This window comes from Homo sapiens, chromosome 8 (genome assembly GCF_000001405.40).
Source record: "Homo sapiens chromosome 8, GRCh38.p14 Primary Assembly".
Lineage (NCBI taxonomy): Eukaryota > Metazoa > Chordata > Mammalia > Primates > Hominidae > Homo > Homo sapiens.
In genome coordinates this window covers 119222125-119247284 of record NC_000008.11, presented here as the reverse complement: position 1 = coordinate 119247284, position 25160 = coordinate 119222125, and the positions used below count along the sequence as shown (strand labels likewise).

The 25160-nt window shown below is 39.4% G+C and overlaps 1 protein-coding gene and 1 long non-coding RNA gene across 6 annotated transcripts in view; one reads left to right on the top strand and one right to left on the bottom strand.

Annotated features, from left to right (window-relative positions):
- Positions 1-427: 427 nt before the first annotated feature.
- Positions 428-25160, top strand: part of MAL2-AS1 (MAL2 antisense RNA 1) — a 32235-nt gene continuing 7502 nt past the window's right edge. For 3 of the 4 annotated variants that reach the window (NR_149112.1, NR_149111.1, NR_149113.1), the window contains exon 1: positions 428-555. This is a non-coding gene — a long non-coding RNA (MAL2 antisense RNA 1). Of the gene's footprint in view, positions 556-2442; positions 2476-2954; positions 2991-23897; positions 24002-25160 lie in introns of all 4 variants that reach the window. The other variant, NR_149114.1, reaches the window with a different exon arrangement.
- Positions 1612-25160, bottom strand: part of MAL2 (mal, T cell differentiation protein 2) — a 37311-nt gene continuing 13762 nt past the window's right edge. For both annotated transcript variants that reach the window (NM_052886.3, XM_011516807.3), the window contains 2 exons: positions 6965-7120; positions 1612-3868 (listed from right to left, as the gene is read on the bottom strand). In NM_052886.3, coding sequence (NP_443118.1) covers positions 3797-3868; positions 6965-7120 — 228 coding nt within the window. In that variant the 3' untranslated portion in view covers positions 1612-3796. The remainder of the gene's footprint in view (positions 3869-6964; positions 7121-25160) is intronic.

Sequence of the window (25160 nt, the reverse complement as noted above, 5' to 3'; positions counted from 1 at the left end):
CTGTAGGTAACTTGAGAAAAAAGTGCTCCAGAGAGAGGAACTAGGATTGTCCTTTTGCTAGGGGCACAGCCTAATAAAAGTATAACTAACGTCCTTTTTTGTTACAAAGCTGGACATTCAAAACATTAAACATATTATAACCAATTTTTGCCAGAGGTTGCAAGTGTTTTTTGTGAAAAATCAGACCTTGGCGATGACCTTGAGCAGTAGGATATAAATAACTCCCACAAGCTTAATGTTCCAATAATGGAACACTAGGCATAGATAGGTTAAAGATCATTGCTATCCCCATACTCTGGACCCCTGCCTGATGAATACATTAAGCTGACACCTGAGACACTGATTCACCAATTAACAAACTTCAGGCATGTTGTTAATGATAGAACCTTCATGACAGTGATCCAGAGTTCCAGATTCTAGAGTATTCAGAGGTGGAAATTCATAGTCCATGCTCAAGATCGAATGGCATCTCTCAGACTGGAAGACCTTTCTGAAGTCAGTTCCAGACATCCCTGGAAGGCTGGATAATTTGGGAAAAGGCTGACTCAATGTAAGGTAATACAGCAGACCAAAGCCCCCATAGTTCATGCCAGAAGTGACAAAGCGGAAAAACACTCAGGTAGACAAGCACTCAGGGACCGTTCTAGAGGCAAGTGGCCTAACCTTTTCTCCATCATGCAGGTTTGGCTTAAATTCTTACAGCTAAAATCATGAGTCCTTGGTTATGACAAAAATGTTCTAAGATATGACACTTACAATAACTATGATGTTAAACATTCTGCTAAAACTTCTCTGGGTGAAGAAAAGATCACATTTTTGGATATAGATATAAAATCTGGGTGAACTGAGGCAAACAGAAATTAAGAGTCTGCACTTCGGAGTCAGACTGTTGGGGTTTAAGTCCCAGCTTTCTCACCTGCTAGGCAGGCAGCACTGGGTGTTTCTTAAGGTTTTTTAGTCTCCAAGCCTTTAAAATGGGATAAGAGTATACACCTCATAGGGTTGTTATGATGAGAAATAAATGAATATGTGAAAAAAATGCCTGAAACATATAAAACATGGTATAAATGAATGCTTTTTAAATAAAACAATTCTTTTTAGCATGGATAGTGGTTTTTTTTGTGTGTGTGTGAGACAGGGTCTCACTCTGTCACCCAGGTTGGAGCCTCAACATCCTGGGCTAAAGCAATCCTCCCACCTCAGTTTCCCAAGTAGCTGGGACTAGAGGCACGTGCCACATGCACCCAGCTAATTTTTAAATTATTTTGTAGAGATGAGGTCTTGCTATATTGCCCAGGTTGGTCCTGAATTCCTAGTGTCAAGTGATCCTTCTGCCTCGGCTTCCCAAAGTATTGGGAATACTGGCATAAGTCATCACACTCGGCAAAACAGAATTCTCATTTAAACTTCCTTTGCAACGTTACTTCCAAAGACTTGCCTCTTTCACCTTCATCAAAGAAAAAAGACTTACTGACAATTCCTGAGAGACTTTTACACAGAAATGTTTAAAACAGAACTTTTTATACATTATAATTCTATAAGCTCTGCCAAATTTATATCAAACCTTTAACTGAATTTCAAAGTGAATGGTGTAAAAGATGACCACAAAGATTATCAAATGAATACTTTATTAGAGACATAACACGTATAAAATAAATTTCTTTTCATCATGGAGTTACCAGATTTTAAAACCAACCAACACTTTCTCATTTTTACAGCTAAGACATGTTAAATTCTTAAATGCCATAATTTTTGTTCAACTGCTTTGTCATTCAACTCACAAGTCTAGAATGTGATTAAGCTACAAATCTAAGTATTCACAGATGTGTCTTAGGCTTGGTTTGTAACAATCTAGAAGCAATCTGTTTACAAAAGTGCCACCAAAGCATTTTAAAGAAACCAATTTAATGCCACCAAACATAAGCCTGCTATACCTGGGAAACAAAAAATCTCACACCTAAATTCTAGCAGAGTAAACGATTCCAACTAGAATGTACTGTATATCCATATGGCACATTTATGACTTTGTAATATGTAATTCATAATACAGGTTTAGGTGTGTGGTATGGAGCTAGGAAAACCAAAGTAGTAGGATATTATAGAAAAGATCTGATGTTAAGTATAAAGTCATATGCCTGATTTCCTCAAACCTTTTGTTTTTCCTCATGTCTTCTGTCTTTATATTTTTATCACAAACCAAGATCTAACAGGGTTCTTTCTAGAGGATTATTAGATAAGTAACACTTGATCATTAAGCACGGATCATGCCACTCATTCATGGTTGTTCTATGTTCCATGAACTCTAATAGCCCAACTTATACATGGCACTCCAAGGGGATGCTTCAGCCAGAAAGTAAAGGGCTGAAAAAGTAGAACAATACAAAAGCCCTCGTGTGGTGGGAACTGTGGCCTCACTCTTACTTGTCCTTCCATTCAAAACAGTTTGGCACCTTTCCATGACGAGGATCTCTACAGGTAGGTTAAAATACTTTTCTGTGCTATTCAGCCAGAAATAGTTTTTGTGCTGGATATGATTTTAAAACAGATTTTGTCTGTCACCAGTGCAAAAACATTACAGATGTCTGGGCTAATACAAAAACACATAAGAATCTACAACTTTATATTTAATACTCTATTCAAATTTAACTCAAAGTAATGCAAAATAATTAGAAGTAAAAACTTAATTCTTCTGAGAGCTCTATTTGGAAAAGCTTCACATATCCACACACAAATATGGGTATATTCATGCACAGGGCAAACAACTGTATTCTGAAGCATAAATAAACTCAAAGTAAGACATCAGTAGCTAGATACCAGTTCCAGTATTGGTTAATGGTCTCTGGGGATCCCATTTTAAGCACTCTCAGATGAGGATCTTGCTCAGTTGTTAGACTATCATTAGTTTGATTAAGCAACTGAAGTTTACTTCATAAATTACTTTTTCCTATATCCAGGACTCTGCCTGAGAAATTTTATACATTCCTCCAAAGGTAAGTATTCTCCAAAGGTAAGTATTTGACTATTAACACAAAGGCAATGTGATTATTGCATAATGACACTAAATATTATGTGGCTTTTCTGTTAGGTTTATAAGTTTTCAATGATCAGTTCAAGAAAATGCAGATCATATATAACTAAGGTTTTACACCAGTGGTTGACAAACTATGGCCCACAGGCTAAACCCAGCCTCCCCTTGTTTTTATAAATAAGTTTTATTAGAACATAACCACACTCATTCATTTCTGTATTGTGTATAGCTGCTTTCACGCTATACTAGCAGAACTGAATAGTTGTGACAGAGACTGTATGGACCGTGAAGCATAAATATTTACCATCTGGCCCATTCTAAAAAAAGTGTGCCAATTCCTGGTTTACACTAAAATATAGAGTTTAGTGGGAAGCCTATTTGAAATGTGTTTTTTTTAGGGGCTGTAATTACCAATTAAAATTAAGGTTCAGGTGACTCAGCAACCAAACAAAAGGGATACTAATTTTTTATGAACAATATATTTGTATTTTATGGACATAAAAGGAAACTTTCAGAAAGAAAAGGAGGAAAATAAAGGGGGAAAGGGAAAAAGGGGAGAGATGTAAAATAAAAGGCCATTTCTTTAATATCATAATAAAATTAACATTCCATCCATGAAATAAACCAGAACTTGAGCTTAGAGTCTCTCTCTACTAAACACATTACTTTTGGAATGTTTTTGCATCTGGACAAAATGGTATCCAAATTGATCAGACATATAAAGTAGACAAGTGAAACTAACATACGACTGCCAGTTTCTAAGGAGTGTTACGGTCGCCATCTTCGTAAAGCCAGACCCAAACTGCAACCATAACAAGCTGTCGTCATAAAGGCAAAAATCTAAGAAAAAAGAAACAAAAATTCACATCAGATTTACAACACCGACTTATAAACAGTGTCCTAAAGAACAACCATATGAAGTTTGACCAACAATCTACCTAAAGATACTTCGACACTTACAAAAATATTTTACATTGTTTTTTTTTTTTTGATGATTTGTACAACTGTTTTATTCCCTCATACAATTACCCTCCCCCCTTCCTTTAAACATTTTAGCTCCTAATAATTTTCTCATTTGTGGACAACTTTACACTGAACATTTGTTCAATCTGTTCACATTCTGGGCTCACTTAAGTATTTGTGAATCCCTAAGCACTGTATTTAAAAATTCAGCATGAAGTTCTGTTCATGTAGTGGCTTCACAGCCAAGGAAGCCAGCAACTATCAGAACCTGAGGATGCATCAAATAATTTCTATGATGATGGAAGGTAACTTTAAAACTCAACTAAGACAAGTGGAAATGAATTATCAGGTTGGCTTGCTCTTGTATGGGAGACAGTCCTGTGTACAAATCTGCACTCTACTTGGAATTAATGAGAATTTCTTCAGCACCAACTGTGTGTATATCACTATACTTGGTACATATAAACAAACAGTAGATAATGTCCTCACCCTTTTGGGGCTTATGATCCATAGAAGACTAAAAGACAAAGCAAAAGCAGTTCAACATGATAAATGTTTGATAAATGTTGTGGGTTTAGCACAGGGATTCTTAACCAGGAAACCAGTTCTGGGAAGGAATACCAGATTCACCTATAGACCATTTTCACAGTTTACTATTCTGCTTTTCTTTCCACCCTTCTTCTGCTGATTTTTTCTCTGATACATTTCTAATCTAGACATTGTTTTCTGAATGACAGCAATAGCTTTTGATACCTATTTTTTGATACCTATTATTTGATACCTATTATTAGGGAAAAGGAATTTTCCTCTCTAATTTCCCAAATGGATGGCTAATACATTTTAGTTACAATAAAACTCAAACTAGAGATTTACTTAGACTGGAGTGAGCATATGGATGAAATGGGATGTAATGTTGAACTTGAAGCATGTAGAGGTTTACTGAGACAGCTTCACTTAGAAAGGGAAGGACAACAGGGACAAAGTCACAAAAGAGAAGCAGCCAGAACAGAACTACATTATGGAGAACACGGAAAACTAGGCCCTTAGGACAAAGGTGACAAATTAAAGACCTCAGACAACCATCACGTATTTCAGCAGCTACTATTCTTGTGAAAGTAGGTTCTAGGGTGACTGTCAATAGATTTGGGGCTACTTCAATGATCCAAGATACAAGAATCTAGCCTGCACCGTTAAAATGAAGGGACTGGAAGTAAGAAACACATAAAGGCAAATACAATGGGAATTGATGACTAATAGCATAGGAAAGTCCCTGAACTTTGCTTTGTAAAGCTGTTAAAACCAAGGGTTTTCTAATGTGGATCACAAGGATTCTATCATCCTCAGGGATGATATGGGTGGGTAGAGGCAGCTTTATGAAAAGAGAATGAGCATCATTCAAGGCCCTCTTCCTCCACTTCAACTAGAGCACTTACACTTTTATCTTCTAGATTTATTGGGGTTTTAGGTAAGAATTGATTAAATAAAACCTTTATTTCTTTTATAAGCAAGTGTTAAAGTCATGAATCTACACTATAAACCTTTCAAAGCTAAAACCATGACTCCTTTTTGTTGTAATCCCACCTTCAGCCTAATTCATTGCAGGCACTCAATAAATTTTGACAAATCCTACCAGAGACTTGGGAAACTTACAATAGGTCTTGAAATCATTTGTCTTGTACCCCTCAAAACTCACTCTAGACATGTATTATCTAACATGATAGCCACTAGGCACATGTGATTATTAAAATTAAATAACACTAAAAATTCAAGTTCCTTAGTCATACTAGTTATCTTTCTCTCCCCCGACCAGAGTCTTGGTCTGTCGCTCAGACTGCTCTGCTCACTGCAACCTCCGCCTCCTGAGTAGGTAGCACTACAGGCACAAGCCACCAGGCCTGGCCAATTCTTTATTCTGTTTTTTTTCCTTTTTCAGAGACAAGGTTTTGCTATGTTGACCAGGCTGGTCTCAAACTCTTGGCCTCAAGCAGTCCTCCCACCTCGGCCTACCAATGTGCTGGGATTACAGGCATGAGCTATGATTCCTTGGCCTAGTTAATTTTCAACTGCTCAATAGCCACATGAAGCCAGTGGCCACCATTTTGGACAGCACTTACATGAAATATTCCTGTCATTATAGAAAGTTCTACTAGACAGTGCTGCTCCAGACAGATTTCAATGACTATATGAGTACTGGGTTATTTATAGGCTACCTGGGGAACATAATAAAACATTAGGGTCACTAACTTGCCATATACTTATATTAAATATCACAATATTTCAGAAACTAATTTGGACTTCTGACATCTTAACAATGATCTCTAACAACAAAAATAATATATTATTTCCTCAAATTATCTACACAAAATGACAAATTCACTCCAGTATACGAATTAAAGATGATTTAAAAAATTTAATAAATACCCCAAGGAATATATTTCATCTGCCTATCATCTACTGCAATGGCTGGCATATTTGCCTCCCTTTCTCACCTGCACTTTCCTTAATGGCAGGAACTGCAACTTATTCACCCCATCCTCAACACCCAGCAAAATTACTTGATAAATGGTAGGCCCACAGTAACTATTCATTCAATAGAAATAAATTGCAAGCAGCTATTGAATACTAAAGAACAAAACTGGAAATCTCCTTTACCATCTCTGAAAGTTATCAGAAGCAAAAAACACAACTCTTTTTGCAAAGTAGACACTGCTGTGCAAAGCCAAGCAGTCCTACTGGCTTGCTATGATCTTACATGAACATCAACCTCTTCGTGCTACAGTTTAATCATCCACAACACTGGGGGTGATCATGGCACTTTGCTTACAAGGTTATTGTACAGATAAATAGCTATTACATATTTAATGCCAATGGCTAGCATTGAAGAAAACTATTGTTGCCTGAGGAGTTTCTTGGAGGCCTTGACAGTGGAGCGGAAGTGCTGGTGAATGGTACTCATTGAATATGAATACTTACTGAGGCTGCTACGTTTATGTTATACTGGTTATCACTCAGGAGTGGCTGCCCGGTTATGGTTGTATTGCAATGCAAATCATGCAGGGATGTGGCTGCTGCTTCCAATAAAAAGGCTCCAAAATAGAAGACAAATACTGTAAAATGGTAGGCAAAATCCTAAAAGAGGAGAGAAAAGACATCTGCAATTAAAAAAAAATATTTTTCTGTTCCTTATTTTAAATAATGAAGTTTAGGTTTAGCAAGATCAAAACATTTAATTAAACAATCTTAACTATATTCACTGTTAAGCTTAGCTGCTTTAGAAATGTTAGACTATCAGAACCCAAGCGAAAATCAACTGACCCATCTTAATTGGCACATTGGTAAACCTTTCCATATACTGAATTTTATAATATGTAATTTTATTTTTTTATTATTATACTTTAAGTTTTAGGGTACATGTGCACAATGTGCAGGTTAGTTACATATGTATACATGTGCCATGCTAGTGTGCTGCACTCATTAACTCATCATTTAGCATTAGGTATATCTCCTAATGCTATCCCTCCCCACAACAGTCCCCAGAGTGTGATGTTCCCCTTCCTGTGTCCATGTGTTCTCATTGTTCAATTCCCACCTATGAGTGAGAATATGTGGTGTTTGGTTTTTTGTTCTTGCGATAGTTTACTGAGAATGATGATTTCCAATTTCATCCATGTCCCTACAAAGGCCATGAACTCATCATTTTTTATGGCTGCATAGTATTCCATGGTGTATATGTGCCACATTTTCTTAATCCAGTCTATCATTGTTGGACATTTGGGTTGGTTCCAAGTCTTTGCTACTGTGAATAATGCCGCAATAAACATACATGTGCATGTGTCTTTATAGCAGCATGATCTGTAGTCCTTTGGGACCCAGTAATGGGATGGCTGGGTCAAATGGTATTTCTAGTTCTAGATCCCTGAGGAATCGCCACACTGACTTCCACAATGGTTGAACTAGTTTACAGTCCCACCAACAGTGTAAAGGTGTTCCTATTTCTCCACATCCTCTCCAGCACCTGTTGTTTCCTGACTTTTTAATGATTGCCATTCTAACTGGTATGAGATGATATCTCATTGTGGTTTTGATTTGCATTTCTCTGATGGTCAGTGATGGTGAGCATTTTTTCATGTGTTTTTTGGCTGCATAAATGTCTTCTTTTGAGAAGTGTCTGTTCATATCCTTCACCCACTTTTTGATGGGGTTGTTTTTTTTTCTTGTAAATTTGTTTGAGTTCATTGTAGATTCTGGATATTAGACCTTTGTCAGATGAGTAGGTTGTGAAAATTTTCTCCCATTTTGTAGGTTGCCTGTTCACTCTGATGATAGTTTCTTTTGCTGTGCAGAAGCTCTTTAGTTTAATTAGCTCCCATTTGTCAATTTTGGCTTGTGTTGCCATTGCTTTTGGTGTTTTAGACATGAAGTCCTTGCCCATGCCTATGTCCTGAATGGTAATGCCTAGGTTTTCTTCTAGGGTTTTTATGGTTTTAGGTCTAAGGTTTAAGTCTTTAATCCATCTTGAATTAATTTTTGTATAAGGTGTAAGGAAGGGATCCAGTTTCAGCTTTCTACATATGGCTAGCCAGTTTTCCCAGCACCATTTATTAAATAGGGATTCCTTTCCCCATTGCTTGTTTTTCTCAGGTTTGTCAAAGATCAGATAGTTGTAGATATGTGGCGTTATTTCTGAGGGCTCTGTTCTGTTCCATTGATCTATATCTCTGTTTTGGTCCCAGTACCATGCTGTTTTGGTTACTGTAGCCTTGTAGTATAGTTTGAAGTCAGGTAGTGTGATGCCTCCAGCTTTGTTCTTTTGGCTTAGGATTGACTTGGCGATGCGGGCTCTTTTTCGGTTCCTATGAACTTTAAAGTAGTTTTTTCCAATTCTGTGAAGAAAGTCATTGGTAGCTTGATGGGGATGGCATTGAATCTATAAATTACCTTGGGCAGTATGGCCATTTTCATGATATTGGTTCTTCCTACCCATGAGCATGGAATGTTCTTCCATTTCTTTGTTTCATTTCAGTGAGCAGTGGTTTGTAGTTCTTGAAGAGGTCCTTCATGTCCCTTGTAAGTTGGATTCCTAGGTATTTTATTCTCTTTGAAGCAATTGTGAATGGGAGGTCACTCATGATTTGGCTCCCTGTTTGTATGTTATTGGTATATAAGAATGCTTGTGATTTTTGTACATTGGTTTTGTATCCTGAGACTTTGCTGAAGTTGCTTATCAGCTTAAGGAGATTCTGGGCTGAGACAATGGGGTTTTCTAGATATACAATCATGTCATCTGCAAACAGGGACAATATGACTTCCTCTTTTCCTAACTGAATACCTTTTATTTCCTTCTGCCTGATGGCCCTGGCCAGAACTTCCAACACTATGTTGAATAGGAATGGTGAGAGAGGGCATCCCTGTCTTGTGCCAGTTTTCAAAGGGAATGCTTCCAGTTTTTGCCCATTCAGTATGATATTGGCTGTGGGTTTGTCATAGATAGCTCTTACTATTTTGAAATACGTCCCATCAGTACCTAATTTCTTGAGAGTTTTTAGCATGAAGGGTTGTTGAATTTTGTCAAAGGCTTTTTCTGCATCTATTGAGATAATCATGTGGTTTTTGTCTTTGGCTCTGTTTATATGCTGGATTACATTTATTGATTTGCATGTATTTAACCAGCCTTGCATCCCAGGGATGAAGCCCACTTGATCATGGTGGATAAGCTTTTTGATGTGCTGCTGGATTCGTTTTGCCAGTATTTTATTGACGATTTTTGCATCAATGTTCATCAAGGATATTGGTCTAAAATTCTCTTTTTTGGTTGTCTCTCTGCCCGGCTTTGGTATCAGAATGATGCTGGCCTCATAAAATGAGTTAGGGAGGATTCCCTCTTTTTCTATTGATTGGAATAGTTGCAGAAGGAATGGTACCAGTTCCTCCTTGTACCTCTGGTAGAATTCAGCTGTGAATCCATCTGGTCCTGGACTCTTTTTGGTTGGTAAACTATTGATTATTGCCACAATTTCAGCTCCTGTTATTGGTCTATTCAGAGATTCAACTTCTTCCTGGTTTAGTCTTGGGAGAGTGTATGTGTCGAGGAATGTATCCATTTCTTCTAGATTTTCTAGTTTATTTGTGTAGAGGTGTTTGTAGTATTCTCTGATGGCAGTTTGTATTTCTGTGGATCGGTGCTGATATCCCCTTTGTCATTTTTTATTGTGTCTATTTGATTCTTCTTTTTTTCTTTATTAGTCTTGCTAGCGGTCTATCAATTTTGTTGATCCTTTCAAAAATCCAGCTCCTGGATTCACTGATTTTTTGAAGGGTTTTTTGTGTCTCTATTTCCTTCAGTTCTGCTCTGATTTTAGTTATTTCTTGCCTTCTGCTAGCTTTTGAATGTGTTTGCTCTTGCTTTTCTAGTTCTTTTAATTGTGATGTTAGGGTGTCAATTTTGGATCTTTCCTGCTTTCTCTTGTGGGCATTTAGTGTTATAAATTTCCCTCTACACACTGCTTTGAATGGGTCCCAGAGATTCTGCTATGTTGTGTCTTTGTTCTCGTTGGTTTCAAAGAACATCTTTATTTCTGCCTTCATTTCGTTATGTACCCAGTAGTCATTCAGGAGCAGGTTGTTCAGTTTCCATGTAGTTGAGCGGTTTTGAGTGAGATTCTTAATCCTGAGTTCTAGTTTGATTGCACTGTGGTCTGAGAGAGTTTGTTATAATTTCTGTTCTTTTACATTTGCTGAGGAGAGCTTTACTTCCAACTATGTGGTCAATTTTGGAATAGGTGTGGTGTGGTGCTGAAAAAAATGTATATTCTGTTGATTTGGGGTGGAGAGTTCTGTAGGTGTCTATTAGGTCCACTTGGTGCAGAGCTGAGTTCAATTCCTGGGTATCCTTGTTGACTTTCTATCTCATTGATCTCTCTAATGTTGACAGTGGGGTGTTAAAGTCTCCCATTATTAATGTGTGGGAGTCTAAGTCTCTTTGTAGGTCACTCAGGACTTGCTTTATGAATCTGGGTGCTCCTGTATTGGGTGCATATATATTTAGGATAGTTAGCTCTTCTTGTTGAATTGATCCCTTTACCATTATGTAATGGCCTTCTTTGTCTCTTTTGATCTTTGTTGGTTTAAAGTCTGTTTTATCAGAGACTAGGATTGCAACCCCTGCCTTTTTTTGTTTTCCATTTGCTTGGTAGATCTTCCTCCATCCTTTTATTTTGAGCCTATGTGTGTCTCTGCATGTGAGATGGGTTTCCTGAATACAGCACACTGATGGGTCTTGACTCTTTATCCAATTTGCCAGTCTGTGTCTTTTAATTGGAGAATTTAGTCCATTTACATTTAAAGTTAATATTGTTATGTGTGAATTTGATCCTGTCATTATGATGTTAGCTGGTGATTTTGCTCGTTAGTTGATGCAGTTTCTTCCTAGTCTTGATGGTCTTTACATTTTGGCATGATTTTGCAGCGGCTGGTACCGGTTGTTCCTTTCCATGTTTAGTGCTTCCTTCAGGAGCTCTTTTAGGGCAGGCCTGGTGGTGACAAAACCTCTCAGCATTTGCTTGTCTGTAAAGTATTTTATTTCTCCTTCACTTAGGAAGCTTAGTTTGGCTGGATATGAAATTCTGGGTTGAAAATTCTTTAAGAATGTTGAATATTGGCCCCCACTCTCTTCTGGCTTGTAGGGTTTCTGCCAAGAGACCCGCTGTTAGTCTGATGGGCTTCCCTTTGAGGGTAACCCGACCTTTCTCTCTGGCTGCCCTTAACATTTTTTCCTTCATTTCAACTTTGGTGAATCTGGCAATTATGTGTCTTGGAGTTGCTCTTCTCGAGGAGTATCTTTGTGGCATTCTCTGTATTTCCTGAATCTGAATGTTGGCCTGCCTTGCTAGATTGGGGAAGTTCTCCTGGATAATATCCTGTAGTGTTTTCCAACTTGGTTCCATTCTCCCCATCACTTTCAGGTACCCCAATCAGACGTAGATTTGGTCTTTTCACATAGTCCCATATTTCTTGGAGGCTTTGCTCATTTCTTTTTATTCTTTTTTCTCTAAACTTCCCTTCTCGCTTCATTTCATCTTCTATTGCTGATACCCTTTCTTCCAGTTGATCGCATTCGCTCCTGAGGCTTCTGCATTCTTCACATAGTTCTCGAGCCTTGGTTTTCAGCTCCATCAGCTCCTTTAAGCACTTCTCTGTATTGGTTATTCTAGTTATACATTCTTCTAAATTTTTTTCAAAGTTTTCAACTTCTTTGCCTTTGGTTTGAATGTCCTCCTGTAGCTCAGAGTAATTTGATCGTCTGAAGCCTTCTTCTCTCAGCTCGTCAAAGTCATTCTCCATCCAGCTTTGTTCCGTTGCTGGTGAGGAACTGCGTTCCTTTGGAGGAGGAGAGGTGCTCTGTGTTTTAGAGTTTCCAGTTTTTATGTTCTGTTTTTTCCCCATCTTTGTGGTTTTATCTACTTTTGGTCTTTGATGATGGTGATGTACAGATGGGTTTTCGGTGTGGATGTCCTTTCTGTTTGTTAGTTTTCCTTCTAACAGACAGGACCCTCAGCTGCAGGTCTGTTGGAATACCCTGCCGTGTGAATTGTGAGTGTGCCCCTGCTGGGGGGTGCCTCCCAGTTAGGCTGTTCCGGGGTCAGGGGTCAGGGACCCACTTGAGGAGGCAGTCTGCCAGGTCTCAGATGTTCAGCTGCATGCTGGGAGAACCACTGCTCTCTTCAAAGCTGTCAGACAGGGACATTTAAGTCTGCAGAGGTTACTGCTGTCTTTTTGTTTGTCTGTGCCCTGCCCCCAGAGGTGGAGCCTACAGAGGCAGGCAGGCCTTCTTGAGCTGTGGTGGGCTCCACCCAGTTCGAGCTTCCGGGCTGCTTTGTTTACCTAAGCAAGCCTGGGCAATGGCGGGCGCCCCTCCCCCAGCCTTGTTGCCGCCTTGCAGTTTGATCTCAGACTGCTGTGCTAGTAATCAGCGAGATTCCGTGGGCATAGGACCCTCCCAGCCAGGTGTGGGATACAATCTCGTGGTGCGCCGTTTTTTAAGCCGGTCTGAAAAGTGCAATATTCGGGTGGGAGTGACCCGATTTTCCCGGTGCGTCCGTCACCCCTTTCTTTGACTCGGAAAGGGAACTCTCTGACCCCTTGCGCTTCCCAAGTGAGGCAATGCCTCGCCCTGCTTCGGCTCGCGCACGGTGCGCGCACCCACTGGCCTGTGCCCACTGTCTGGCACTCCCTAGTGAGATGAACCCGGTACCTCAGATGGAAATGCAGAAATCATCCGTCTTCTGCGTCACTCACGCTGGGAGCTGTAGACTGGAGCTGTTCCTATTCGGCCATCTTGGCTCCTCCCCTTGGTTTGCCAGTATTTTATTGAGGATTTTTGCATCAATGTTCATCAAGGATATTGGTCTAAAATTCTCTTTTTTGGTTGTGTCTCTTCCCGGCTTTGGTATCAGGATGATGCTAGCCTCATAAAATGAGTTAGGGAGGATTCTCTCTTTTTCTATTGATAGGAATAGTTTCAGAAGGAATGGTACCAGTTCCTCCTTGTACCTCTGGTAGAATTCGGCTGTGAATCCATCTGGTCCTGGACTCTTTTTGGTTGGTAAGCTATTGATTATTGCCACAATTTCAGAGCCTGTTATTGGTCTATTCAGAGATTCAACTTATTCCTGGTTTAGTCTTGGGAGGGTGTATGTGTCGAGGAATTTATCCATTTCTTCTAGATTTTCTAGTTTATTTGCATAGAGGTGTTTGTAGTATTCTCTGATGGTAGTTTGTATTTCTGTGGATCAGTGCTGCTATCCCCTTCGTCATTTTTTATTGCGTCTATTTGATTCTTCTCTCTTTTCTTCTTTATTAGTCTTGCTAGCAGTCTATCAATTTTGTTGATCCTTTCAAAAAACCAGCTCCTGGATTCATTAATTTTTTAGAGGGTTTTTTGTGTCTCTATTTCCTTCAGTTCTGCTCTGATTTTAGTTATTTCTTGCCTTCTGCTAGCTTTTGAATGTGTTTGTTTGCTCTTGCTTTTCTAGTTCTTTTAATTGTGATGTTAGGGTGTCAATTTTGGATCTTTCCTGCTTTCTCTTGTGGGCATTTAGTGTTATAAATTTCCCTCTACACACTGCTTTGAATGTGTCCCAGAGATTCTGGTATGCTGTGTCTTTGTTCTCATTGGTTTCAAAGAACATCTTTATTTCTACCTTCATTTTGTTATGTACCCAACCACCCCAAATCAACAGAATATACATTTTTTCAGCACCACACCTATTCCAAAATTGACCACATAGTTGGAAGTAAAGCTCTCCTCAGCAAATGTAAAAGATCAGAAATTATAACAAACTGTCTCTCAGCCCACAGTGCAATCAAACTAGAACTCAGGATTAAGAAACTCACTCAAAACTGCTCAGCTACATGGAAACTGAACAACCTGCTCCTAATAATATGTAATTTTAATTTGGATTAAGATGCCATAGAGATCAATGTTAATTAGGATAATATAAAAAAGCCATAACATATGCTGTCTTTAAAATTCAAGTAAAATAGCATTTAAATAACATCTTTTTATTATGGTTATGATATGTATTCATACACATTATGTAATTTTATTTTTGAGCAGTTATTTTTATCATTAGAGATTTTCCACTGAAAGATACAGAAGACTAATAGAATTCAATAACATATATTCATATATTTCATTAAAAACTACTAACATATATACTTCCACCAAAAGTATAAGAACTCGTTTATTAGGCTTCTTTGTATGTTGCTGACATTCATGTGAAGCATAACACTATTACAGTTCATATTGTCTTACCTGAATTAATATACCATCAACACATCACTGTTTATTTTTAATAGCTCCCACATATCAGGTACCTTATGTGCATTATTACTCATCCTTATAACCATCATTTATTATCTCCATTTTACAAAGAATTTCTTCTTTCTTTTCAGTTAAATGACTGTTGACTGTTTGAAGCCAGACAAATATTAACTTTTGGAGGAAGAAAAACATGTAGTGTGTCTAGTCCCAAAGTCCAGTTTCTTTAGTTTTCAAAAAAAATTATTTTAATTGAGAAAAATACATATTTATCGTGTACATGTTTTTAAATATTTATACATTGTGGAATATTTATACATTGTGGGATGGCTAAGTGGAGCTAATTTATATATACATAAATATATAAAAAAATATATAAAACCTCCCAAAATTATCTTTTTTTTGTGGTGAGAACATCTAAAATATTTTTTAGCATTTTTCAAGAATATAATACACTGTTATTAACTATAGTTGCCATGCTGTACAATAGATCTCTTGAACTCATTTCTCCTAACTGAAATTCTGTATCCTTTGACCAACATTTCCCCAGTCCCCCATCACCCCATACCCTGGTAATCACCATTCTATTCTCTACTTCTGTGAATTCAACTGTTCAAGATTTCACATATAAGTGAGATCATGCGGTATTGGTCTTTCCGTGCCTGGCTTATTTCACATAACACAATGTTCATCTATATTGCAAATGACAGGATTTCTGCCTTTTTAAAGGCAATTAGTATTGTGAATATATACTGCATTTTCTTTATCCATTCATCTACTGGCCTTTAGGTTGATTCCATGTCTTGGCGTTTTGAATAATGGTGTATTGAAAATGAGAATGCAGATATCTCACTGATGTCATTTCCTTTGGATATATACCCAGGCGTGGGATTGCTAGATCATATGGTAGTTCTATTTTTAACTTTTTGAGGAACTTCCACACTGTTCTCTATAACGACTGCACTAATTTACATTCCTACCAACAGTGTGCAAGGGTTCCCTTTGAAGTCTACGTTCTTTCCTATCAAACCTATTATTGATTTCTATTACCGTTATAGCAATATTACAAAGGAGAGCATTGCACTGCTTTTGTAAATGCCCATACAGCAAATCATACTGTTTATAGAAATTGTTCTCATATCTGGCTGGGCACAGTGGCTCACGCCTGTAATCCCAGCACTTTGGGAGGTCAAGGCGGGCGGATCATGAGGTCAGGAGAGAGAGACCATCCTGGCTAACACAGTGAAACCCTGTCTCTACTAAAAATACAAAAAGATTAGCTGGGTGTGGTGGCGGGCGCCTGTGGTCCCAGCTACTTGGGAGGCTGAGGCAGGAGAATGGTGTGAACCTGGGAGGTGGAGCTTGCAGTGAGCCAAGACTGCATCAGTGCACTCCAGCCTGGACAACAGAGCAAGACTCTGCCTCAAAACAAACAAAAAATAAAAAAAAAAACTGTTCTCACATCTAAAATACTCTGCTAGGACAAATTTAACTAACCATGGGTAAGAACTACAAAGGTGTGCTTTCTATTAAATAACTCTCATTTGTAAACTGATTCACAAATGCCTTCAAAAGATTTAAGAAAAGTGTTACATACTGGCCACACGTTTGTAGGAGAGATGCTCAAATACATGTGGTTATTCAACAAATATTAGCTGATGAAGGTCAAACCCCAAATTCAAATGTCACCATTTTTAATGGCTAAATGAAATGATGCTAGATCTTAGTAAGAAAAATTAAGAGAAAATTTGTCTGAGATCATTAGGCACTCATTTAACTTACTGAGGTGAATCATCAGAAATAGTTTATCTTTAAATAAAGAGATTTGGTGACAGGACCTGCAACTCTTCGTGTGATCTGATCCCTTAATTTCTCTACCATTACATACCTTTTTCAATGTCACCCACATTCACCTCATTTTGGTCCCTAGGAAGCATTTTATAGCTCAAGGATGCTACTCTTTACACATGGTATTGTCTCTGCCAGAAAGGATTCTGCCCACAAGCAATTACTGCTTGCCCCTTCCCGCCCCCCCAATCCTGCCAATTTTGCTTCTTCCTCCCTCCTTTTCAGAAGTATCTGAATTAAATTGTGGTTTCAAGGCTTTCCTGTCCAATCCTATTTCTTCCCCTTTCATCTTTTATAGGTGTTAATTCCCAACACACTTCTCGCGCTTCTCACTCCATATGCTTGGGTCATCCTATCCAGCCAGGGTCATATATACTCTTGGTGTTAGGAGAAAGTACATAGTGTGGAATTTATGGCAATGCCAATGTGAAAATCACTGGAGGTTCCTGGAGTTTTAGAGCCTCTAGTAACCTGCACTGGAGAGTGACAAGTGTTTGAAAAGTAGCTCCTGGTACTAGACCTGGTAGAGAAGAAACACTTGACACCAGTGGCCAGGCATCCAGAACTGCTTATTTTGGGTTGGGTTCCATGGAAGCCACTAACTCAAAAAATCAGGTGGGTCAGCAGCTGTCTCCTTGTGATGGGAAGGGCACATATGATATTGACCTGAGCAAGACCAGTTAACAAGAGGTAACTGCAAGAGCAGGTAGCCTAGGCTCTCATGTTACCCACCAGAGTGGAACTGCTGTCCTTCCTCAGTTCGTACCTATGGCCACAGGGAAGAGTGGTTTCCTTATGCCCACGTGAAGGAGAAAAAAACCCTGAGCTTTGTTTTTGGAAGAGTTGGCTCCTATGTGGTTGCAAGGTTGAAAGGGACAGCAGCTGTATTGTATGTGCATTATAGCCACATTCAGAGTTGGCTTTGAAAGACAGTGGTTAGGGACTATTTTCCCAATGGGTAGAGCTGAGTGATGATGCATGTTACACACTTTGCTCAGAAAGAAAAGTGGCCCATAGCTGGGTGCAGTGGCTCGTGTCTGTAATCCCAGCACTTTGGGAGGCCGATGTGGTGGATCACTTGAGGTCAGGAGTTTGAGACCAGCCTAGCCAACATGGCAAAAGCCCATCTCTACTAAAAATACAAAAATTAGCTGGGCATGGTGGTGCATGCCTGTAATCCCAGTTACTCGGAAGGCTAAGGCAGAAGAATCGCTTGAATCCAGGAGGCAGAGGTTGCAATGAGCAGAGATCCTGCCACTGCACTCCAGCCTGGGCAATAGAGCAAGACTCTGTCTCAAAAAAAAAAAAAAAAAGAGGCCCACAGTGAGAATATACATAGACTGATGATCAATAGCAAATAGACTACTGTACTTGTCAGGGCCATGGGATAAAACATTTCAAAGCTTCAGGGACAAGGAAGGGATACGGGATTAGGCATACTATGTGGAGATCTTTCTGTCACTTGGTAATGCTTACCAGAAGCATCACTTTAGAATGCTACGTAGCCAAAAGGACCCTTCGAGTTGATGTTAGCAATCCTTTGGCATCAACCATCCCATACCTGGCATTATGGGCACATAAACAGAGTACCCATGGTCAGAGAAAGTGGCCATGGAAAGGCCCAAGAGTATGGCCTCCTTATTGCCAAAGCTGATCTACCCACTGCTTCCTCTGAATGTTGAACTGCCAGCAACAGAGACCAACTCTGAGCTCCTGATAAGGGATTATCCTCAAGGGGACCAACCACTTACCTGTAGTAAATGAATGAAAACTGAGCTTCTACCTTCCTGGAGGGCAAAATATTTCACTCTCACAAAAACACACACCCATAATGGTTATTCTCACTAAAATACAATTAATTACCTAGGGCATCGAGGATTTATGAATTTGCTTTTATGACTCTCTGAGCTTGAGCCACCAGCTATACCCAAGGATTTACAGACTGCATTCACTCAGTCTCTGATCAAGGAAACCACTTCTCAACAAAGCAGGAGTGGAAATGGGTGCCTACCCATGGGCTGCATCATGTACTGCACCACCTAGAAGCTGCTGGCCTGGCCTGATAGCACAAAGGAATGGCTGGCTGAAGGCACAGCTTGGAGGCACTAGTCTGTGAGGATGGGGGTCATCCTTTAGGATGCAGTAGATACACTGAAGAAGAGCTTCCTACATGTTATTGTGTCCCCATTGGAAGAATGGAAACTTAGGGGTAAAAGCAAGAGTTTCTCCACTTGTCATCGCTTCTAATAACCTGATGAAATCCTTTATGATTTATGTTCCCACAGCTCTAGGTTTTTCATGGTCAGGGGTCCTTGTCCCCAAAGGGACAAGGACAGAGGATACAGCAATGGTCCCATTGAGCTACAAGCTATGGCTACTCTCTGGCCACTTTGGACTCTTTTGTCCAGGGACAAAAAGGCAGGAAGAGGAGTTACCATCTTGACAAAGGTAGTTGCCACTAAACTTCAAGAGAAGGCAGAGCTGCTGGAAGTCAGGATGGCAGTAAGGAGCATGTATTGCCCTCGTGTATGTGCCATAAGAGGGCGAAAGGAATTATATGTAGACCTCAGGTGATCTACTTGAGGTCTTCTTGGAAGTCTCTCTGCCAATTGTGACTAAAAACAAACAAGTGTAGCAATACTGGCCTGAAGCAGATGTGGTTGCCAGGGGCCCTGACTCTCTCAGGAATGAGATTTGGATTCACCAACAGGAAACCACTGAGACCACCAGACAGGAAAGCTGAGAAGAGGAATGTAAAATGGTCAGTGGAAGAAGATGAGTACCAGTTGGCCTTGAGACCAACTCCAGTGAACGGAGATGTCATGTATCCCTCTAACCTCTCTCCTTTAAGTCTTTCTTCAGGAAGAAAGGCACATGGGAACCCCAGAGGAGTGACTCCCAGATGTATATGGAGAAATGGATCTGCAGTATGAGAGGAGAGTGGAGCATCTAATTGTGCACTGCACACATTTTCCATCAAGAAGGAACTTGATGTTTAGCTGTGAGGGGTGCAGGTAGCTGACAGCCTCCAGCTTCAGTGGATTTGCGATCTGCTACAATGCATGAGCCAAGGCCACATTCTTCCTGGATATCCCCCAACCCCACTAATGACAGCACAGTGGAGGTACTAGTGCTTGGCCACTTGTGCCCAACACAAAACTCTCAAAGGACAGGCTGTGTTCTGAAGTTTTGTATGGATTTGGTCAAGACTTTGTAGAGCGTATCATTCTGGGTTTTCTTCCTGATCTTACTTCCTCTTTTATTTTCTTTTACAAGTGTTATCTCCCCTTTCCCTTAAACAATAACAACAACAACAAAATGCACAAAAAGCCCAAACCAAAACTCTTGTACTTCTCAATCCATCTTAGAATCTACTTCCCAGTGAAGCTGAGATGACACATATGTTGTTTTGGCATGCTAGGCTTTTCCTTTTTGGCTACTAACATAACATTAATTAATGCATTAATTTTGTAACAATTTACTTACATTGTCTACTACAACAAACTCTTTGACAGCAACTGCTAGATCTGTCTTTTTTCACAATTGTATTCCCAGGGCCTAGTATAGGGCCAACTACTCAGTAACTATTCCCAACCCCTGGTGGACTGTACCTATATTTGTATTTGGCCATCCTGAGTGTACTATTCCAATTTGTGCCAGGTGTGGGATGTGTGTTAAGAAGGTCTTCCACAAGCCTCACTCATTGCATTTGACAGCCCAGATCATTTCTGCTAAGTCAGTGGTTCTCAAATGTTAGCCTGCATCAGAACCACCTGGAGAGCTTGTTTAAACACAAGACAGCTGAGTCCTACTCCCAGAGTTTCTGACTTAGCAGGTCAGGGTGGAACCTGATAATGTCCATTTCTGACACGTTTCCAGATGCTGCTGCTCTTCTGGCCAGGACCACCATTTGTAAATCTCTGCCCTAGGCCCCTGGCCTCCACTTATTAGCAGATGAACCCAGCCTCTTTCTTAATTGCCTTCACTTTCTTAATTGCCTTCATGTGCTCTTGCTGTTTCACCCATCTTATCAATGCTCACACACCCCAGAGCACTGCCCACTATGTGTTTGCCTTTTCCCTGGGCAACCTCAGCCTCAGGCATAGCTTCCACCCCACCCCCCGCCCGCAAGTGACTATATCTCACATTCTTGTCTTAAGCCCATGTTTGCTCTTCGTTTCAGGGTCAAACTTCCATCTACTAGTTAAAAAAAAAAAGGGGGGGAAAGGATTCCCTATTGAATAAATGGTTCTGGGAAAACTGGCTAGCCATAAGTAGAAAGCTGAAACTGGATCCCTTCCTTACACCTTATACAAAAATTAATTCAAGATGGATTGAAGACTTAAATGTTAGACCTAAAACCATAAAAACCCTAGAAGAAAACCTAGGCAATACCATTCAGGACATAGGCATGGGCAAGGACTTCATGTCTAAAACACCAAAAGCAATGGCAACACAAGCCAAAATTGACAAATGGGATCTAATTAAACTAAAAAGCTTCTGCACAGCAAAAGAAACTACCATCAGAGTGAACAGGCAACCTACAGAATGGGAGAAAATTTTTTACAGAATGGGAGAAAATTTTTGCAATCTACTCATCTGACAAAGGGCTAACATCCAGAATCTACAATGAACTCAAACAAATTCACAAGAAAAAAACAACCCCATCAAAAAGTGGGTGAAGGATATGAACAGACACTTCTCAAAAGAAGACATTTATGCAGCCAACAGACACATGAAAAAATGCTCACCATCACTGACCATCAGAGAAATGCAAATCAAAACCACAATGAGATACCATCTCACACCAGTTAGAATGGCAATCATTAAAAAGTCAGGAAACAACAGGTGCTGGAGAGGATGTGGAGAAATAGGAACACTTTTACACTGTTGGTGGGAATGTAAACTAGTTCAACCATTGTGGAAGTCAGTGTGGCGATTCCTCAGGGATCTAGAACTAGGAATACCATTTGACCCAGCCATCCCATTACTGGGTATATACCCAAAGGATTATAAAACATGCTGCTATAAAGACACATGCACACGTATGTTTATTGCGGCACTATTCACAATAGCAAAGACTTGGAACCAACCGAAATGTCCAACAATGAGGCTGGATTAAGAAAATGTGGCACATATACACCATGGAATACTATGCAGCCATAAAAAATGAGTTCATGTCCTTTGCATGGACATGGATGAAGCTGGAAACCATCATTCTCAGCAAACTATCACAAGGACAAAAAACCAAACAAACACTGCATGTTCTCACTCATAGATGGGAATTGAACAATGAGAACACATGGACACAGGAAGGGGAACATCACACACCGGGGCCTGTTGTGGGGTGGGGGGAGTGGGGAGGGATAGCATTAGGAGATATACCTGATGTTAAATGATGAGTTAATGGGTGCAGCACACCAACCTGGCACATGTATACATATGTAACTAACCTGCACGTTGTGCACATGTACCCTAAAACCTAAAGTATAAAAAAAGTTGGAGTGAGAAAATACTATCTGCAAGTTTATGTAGTAAAACTCTACAAAGTTAATCTTAAAAAAAAAAGCTGCATCGTCTATAGGGGGATCCTCGTTTACATTAACAGCAGCAAGAAAAATGGATGACAACCACTTTGAACCTCAGTTTTCTCATTTGTAAAAATGAGAACAAGAATACTTATCACCCATAAAGAATTGTCATTAAGGTCAAATAAGCAAATGAATATGGGGCCAGAAAATATAGCTGACAAAATGTAAGATACTAAGCAGTGGATGGAGCTGGAGGCCGTTATTCTAAATGAAGTAACTCACTTATTATTTGAAAACCAAATATTGTATGTTCTCAGTTGTAAGTGGGAACCAAGCCATGGGCATGCAAAGGCATACAGAGTGGTATAATGGACATTGGAGACTCAGGAGTGGGTGGGGAGAGGAGAAGGAGGGATAAAAAAACTACATGTTGGGTACAATGTATACTACTCGGGGGGCTGTTACACTAACATCTCAGATTTCACCACTATGCAATTCATTCATGTAATAAAAAACCACATGTACCCTAAAAGCTATTGAAATAAAAAAAATCTTAAAAAAACCAATATATTAAGTGATGTCCATAATAGGCAAATGATCAAATGTGTGCCAGTTATACTTTGGGGGAATAAAGGGAAACATGTTTAATTGCATAGGATTTTTAAATAGCTCTATTTTTCTAAAATGTATCTTTCCTTAGTACCCTTCCCCTACAAAGGGGACTATATAAATTTAGAATCTTCTGTTTAAAGTTCCACAAAAATGGTATTTTTTCCTCTCCAGAAAAAAAATACAGAAAAGCTGTTTCAAAACCAAAATCTCCTTATTTTCCCAGAATAGAATGAGGCAAGTATTTAGTACTTTATATCTGTTATTAGATAGTATATTTTTATTTCACTATTTATATAAAAGCTAGAAAGCTCAGGAAAAACTGCTGAAGCTATCTATCATGAATGTAATTTTCTTAGTCAATAAAACCCAGAAGAAATAGTAAACTCAATATCCTACAACAAATACATCTAGAAAATAAGTTCTTTATCAAAATGCATTCTTGCTTCCTTCAAGTATGGTCTAAAGTGGTAAACTATTATCACAGGAGAAAACAACTATTTTTGAGCCATTAATGTCTGACAGTTCCAGAATGCAACAATTAAAAATTGTTACCAACTTGTGACAATTCCATTATATACATGGCTAAAAAGTTTTCCTGGGAGAGTGTACAAAATATGTTACCAAACCTATCAAAAGCAAGCCATGCAATAAAAAATGACTGAATAATAATAATAAAAAAAAGACCCACACACAAAAGAAGAAAAAAAGAGAAGCCCTTTCGAAATAGGGAAAACATTTCATAAATTCCTTGAAGACAAGATTTGGCTCTTAGAAAGCATGCCTACCATACAATCAACGCTGTGCATTGCTATTACCATCTTTTGCCTCAGTAACAGCTACTGAGCTAAAAGACTACTCCAGCTAAAAGACCACAGGTAACCTTTGCAGCTGACCTATGAAACAAAGATTTCCAATTTCAGCTGTCACTTTCATAGAGTAGCACAATTAAAACAACAGAAACGCTTAACATTTAATTTTCTGAACATCAGATATAATGCTACAAATGGGTGGGAAATGCAAACTTGGGAAAACAAATAAATTAATAAGGACATGAATGACTGTACTCAATACCAAATATATTATTCTCATTTTACAGAGGAAGAAACTAAAATCGAGAGAGGTTAATAATTGTGCCCGAGGCTACACAGCTACTAAGCAAACCAGATCTATGCTCAAAGCCCATGCAGGACTGTAACCACGGTACTCCACTTCCTTCTTAGCTTTATACTAAGCTATGCCATTTGCCCCAGGGCTGGCTTAAAGGCCAGCCACATTCCCTACACTTCACCACTAATAACATTTAGGATTACAGTTCCTCTTATGCCCTATAAATAAAACAAGAACAGATATTTAACATCTGCACTAAAGCTGTGGAATAACATGCTGTTATACTTGAAAGGAATATATATAAAGCCTGACTGAAGGTCTGATGTAAGCTTCTAAACACCAAAGTATGATCATAACCTAATGGGGGTTCTTCCTGAACTTCCCTGAAGCACTGTGATCCTCTGAGTCATTCTAAAACAGTCTTAGAGAATAAATGGCTGCAAGCATGAAAGACAAGCTCTATATACTAAACAAAAAGTTGATCTAATTTAATGGTGTCATAATTTTAAAAATTGTGTTGATTGCAAATTTTTTTTTTTTTTTTTTTGAGAGACAAGGTCTTGCTCTGTCTCCTTGGCTGGAGTGCACTGGTGTGATCATGGCTCACTGCAGCCTCGACTTCCTGGGCTCAAGTGATCCTCCTGCCTCAACTTCCTGAGTAGCTGGGACTACAGGAGTGCAACACCATGTCCAGATATTTTTTGTAGTTTTTGTAGAGACAGGGTTACACCATGTTTCCCAGGCTGGCCTTGAGCTCCTGGTCTCAAGTGATCCTCCTGCCTCAGCTTCCCAAAGTCCTGGGACTATAGGCATGAGCCACTGCACTTGGTCACAAATTCTTTTTTTTTTTTTTTTTGAGATGGAGTCTTGCTCTGTCACCCAGGCTGGAGTACAGTGGCACAATCTAGGCTCACTGCCTCCCGGGTTCAAGTAATTCTTCTGCCTCTGCCTCCCAACCAGCTGGGACTACAGGCACACCCCATCATGCCCGGGGTAATTTTTGTATTTTTAGTAGAGACGGGGTGTCACCATGTTGGCCAGGCTGGTCTTGAACTCCTGACCTCATGATTCATCTGCCTCGGCCTCCCAAAGTGCTGGGATTACAGGCATGAGCTACCACGCCCGGCCACAAATTCATTTTTAAAAACTCACCAATTCTTTTTAATTTGGGACAGACGTTTATTATCAATATGAAACATGCCCTTTTCTAAGTATTTGTTTTCTGAAAAAAAAATACATATTTAAATATCTG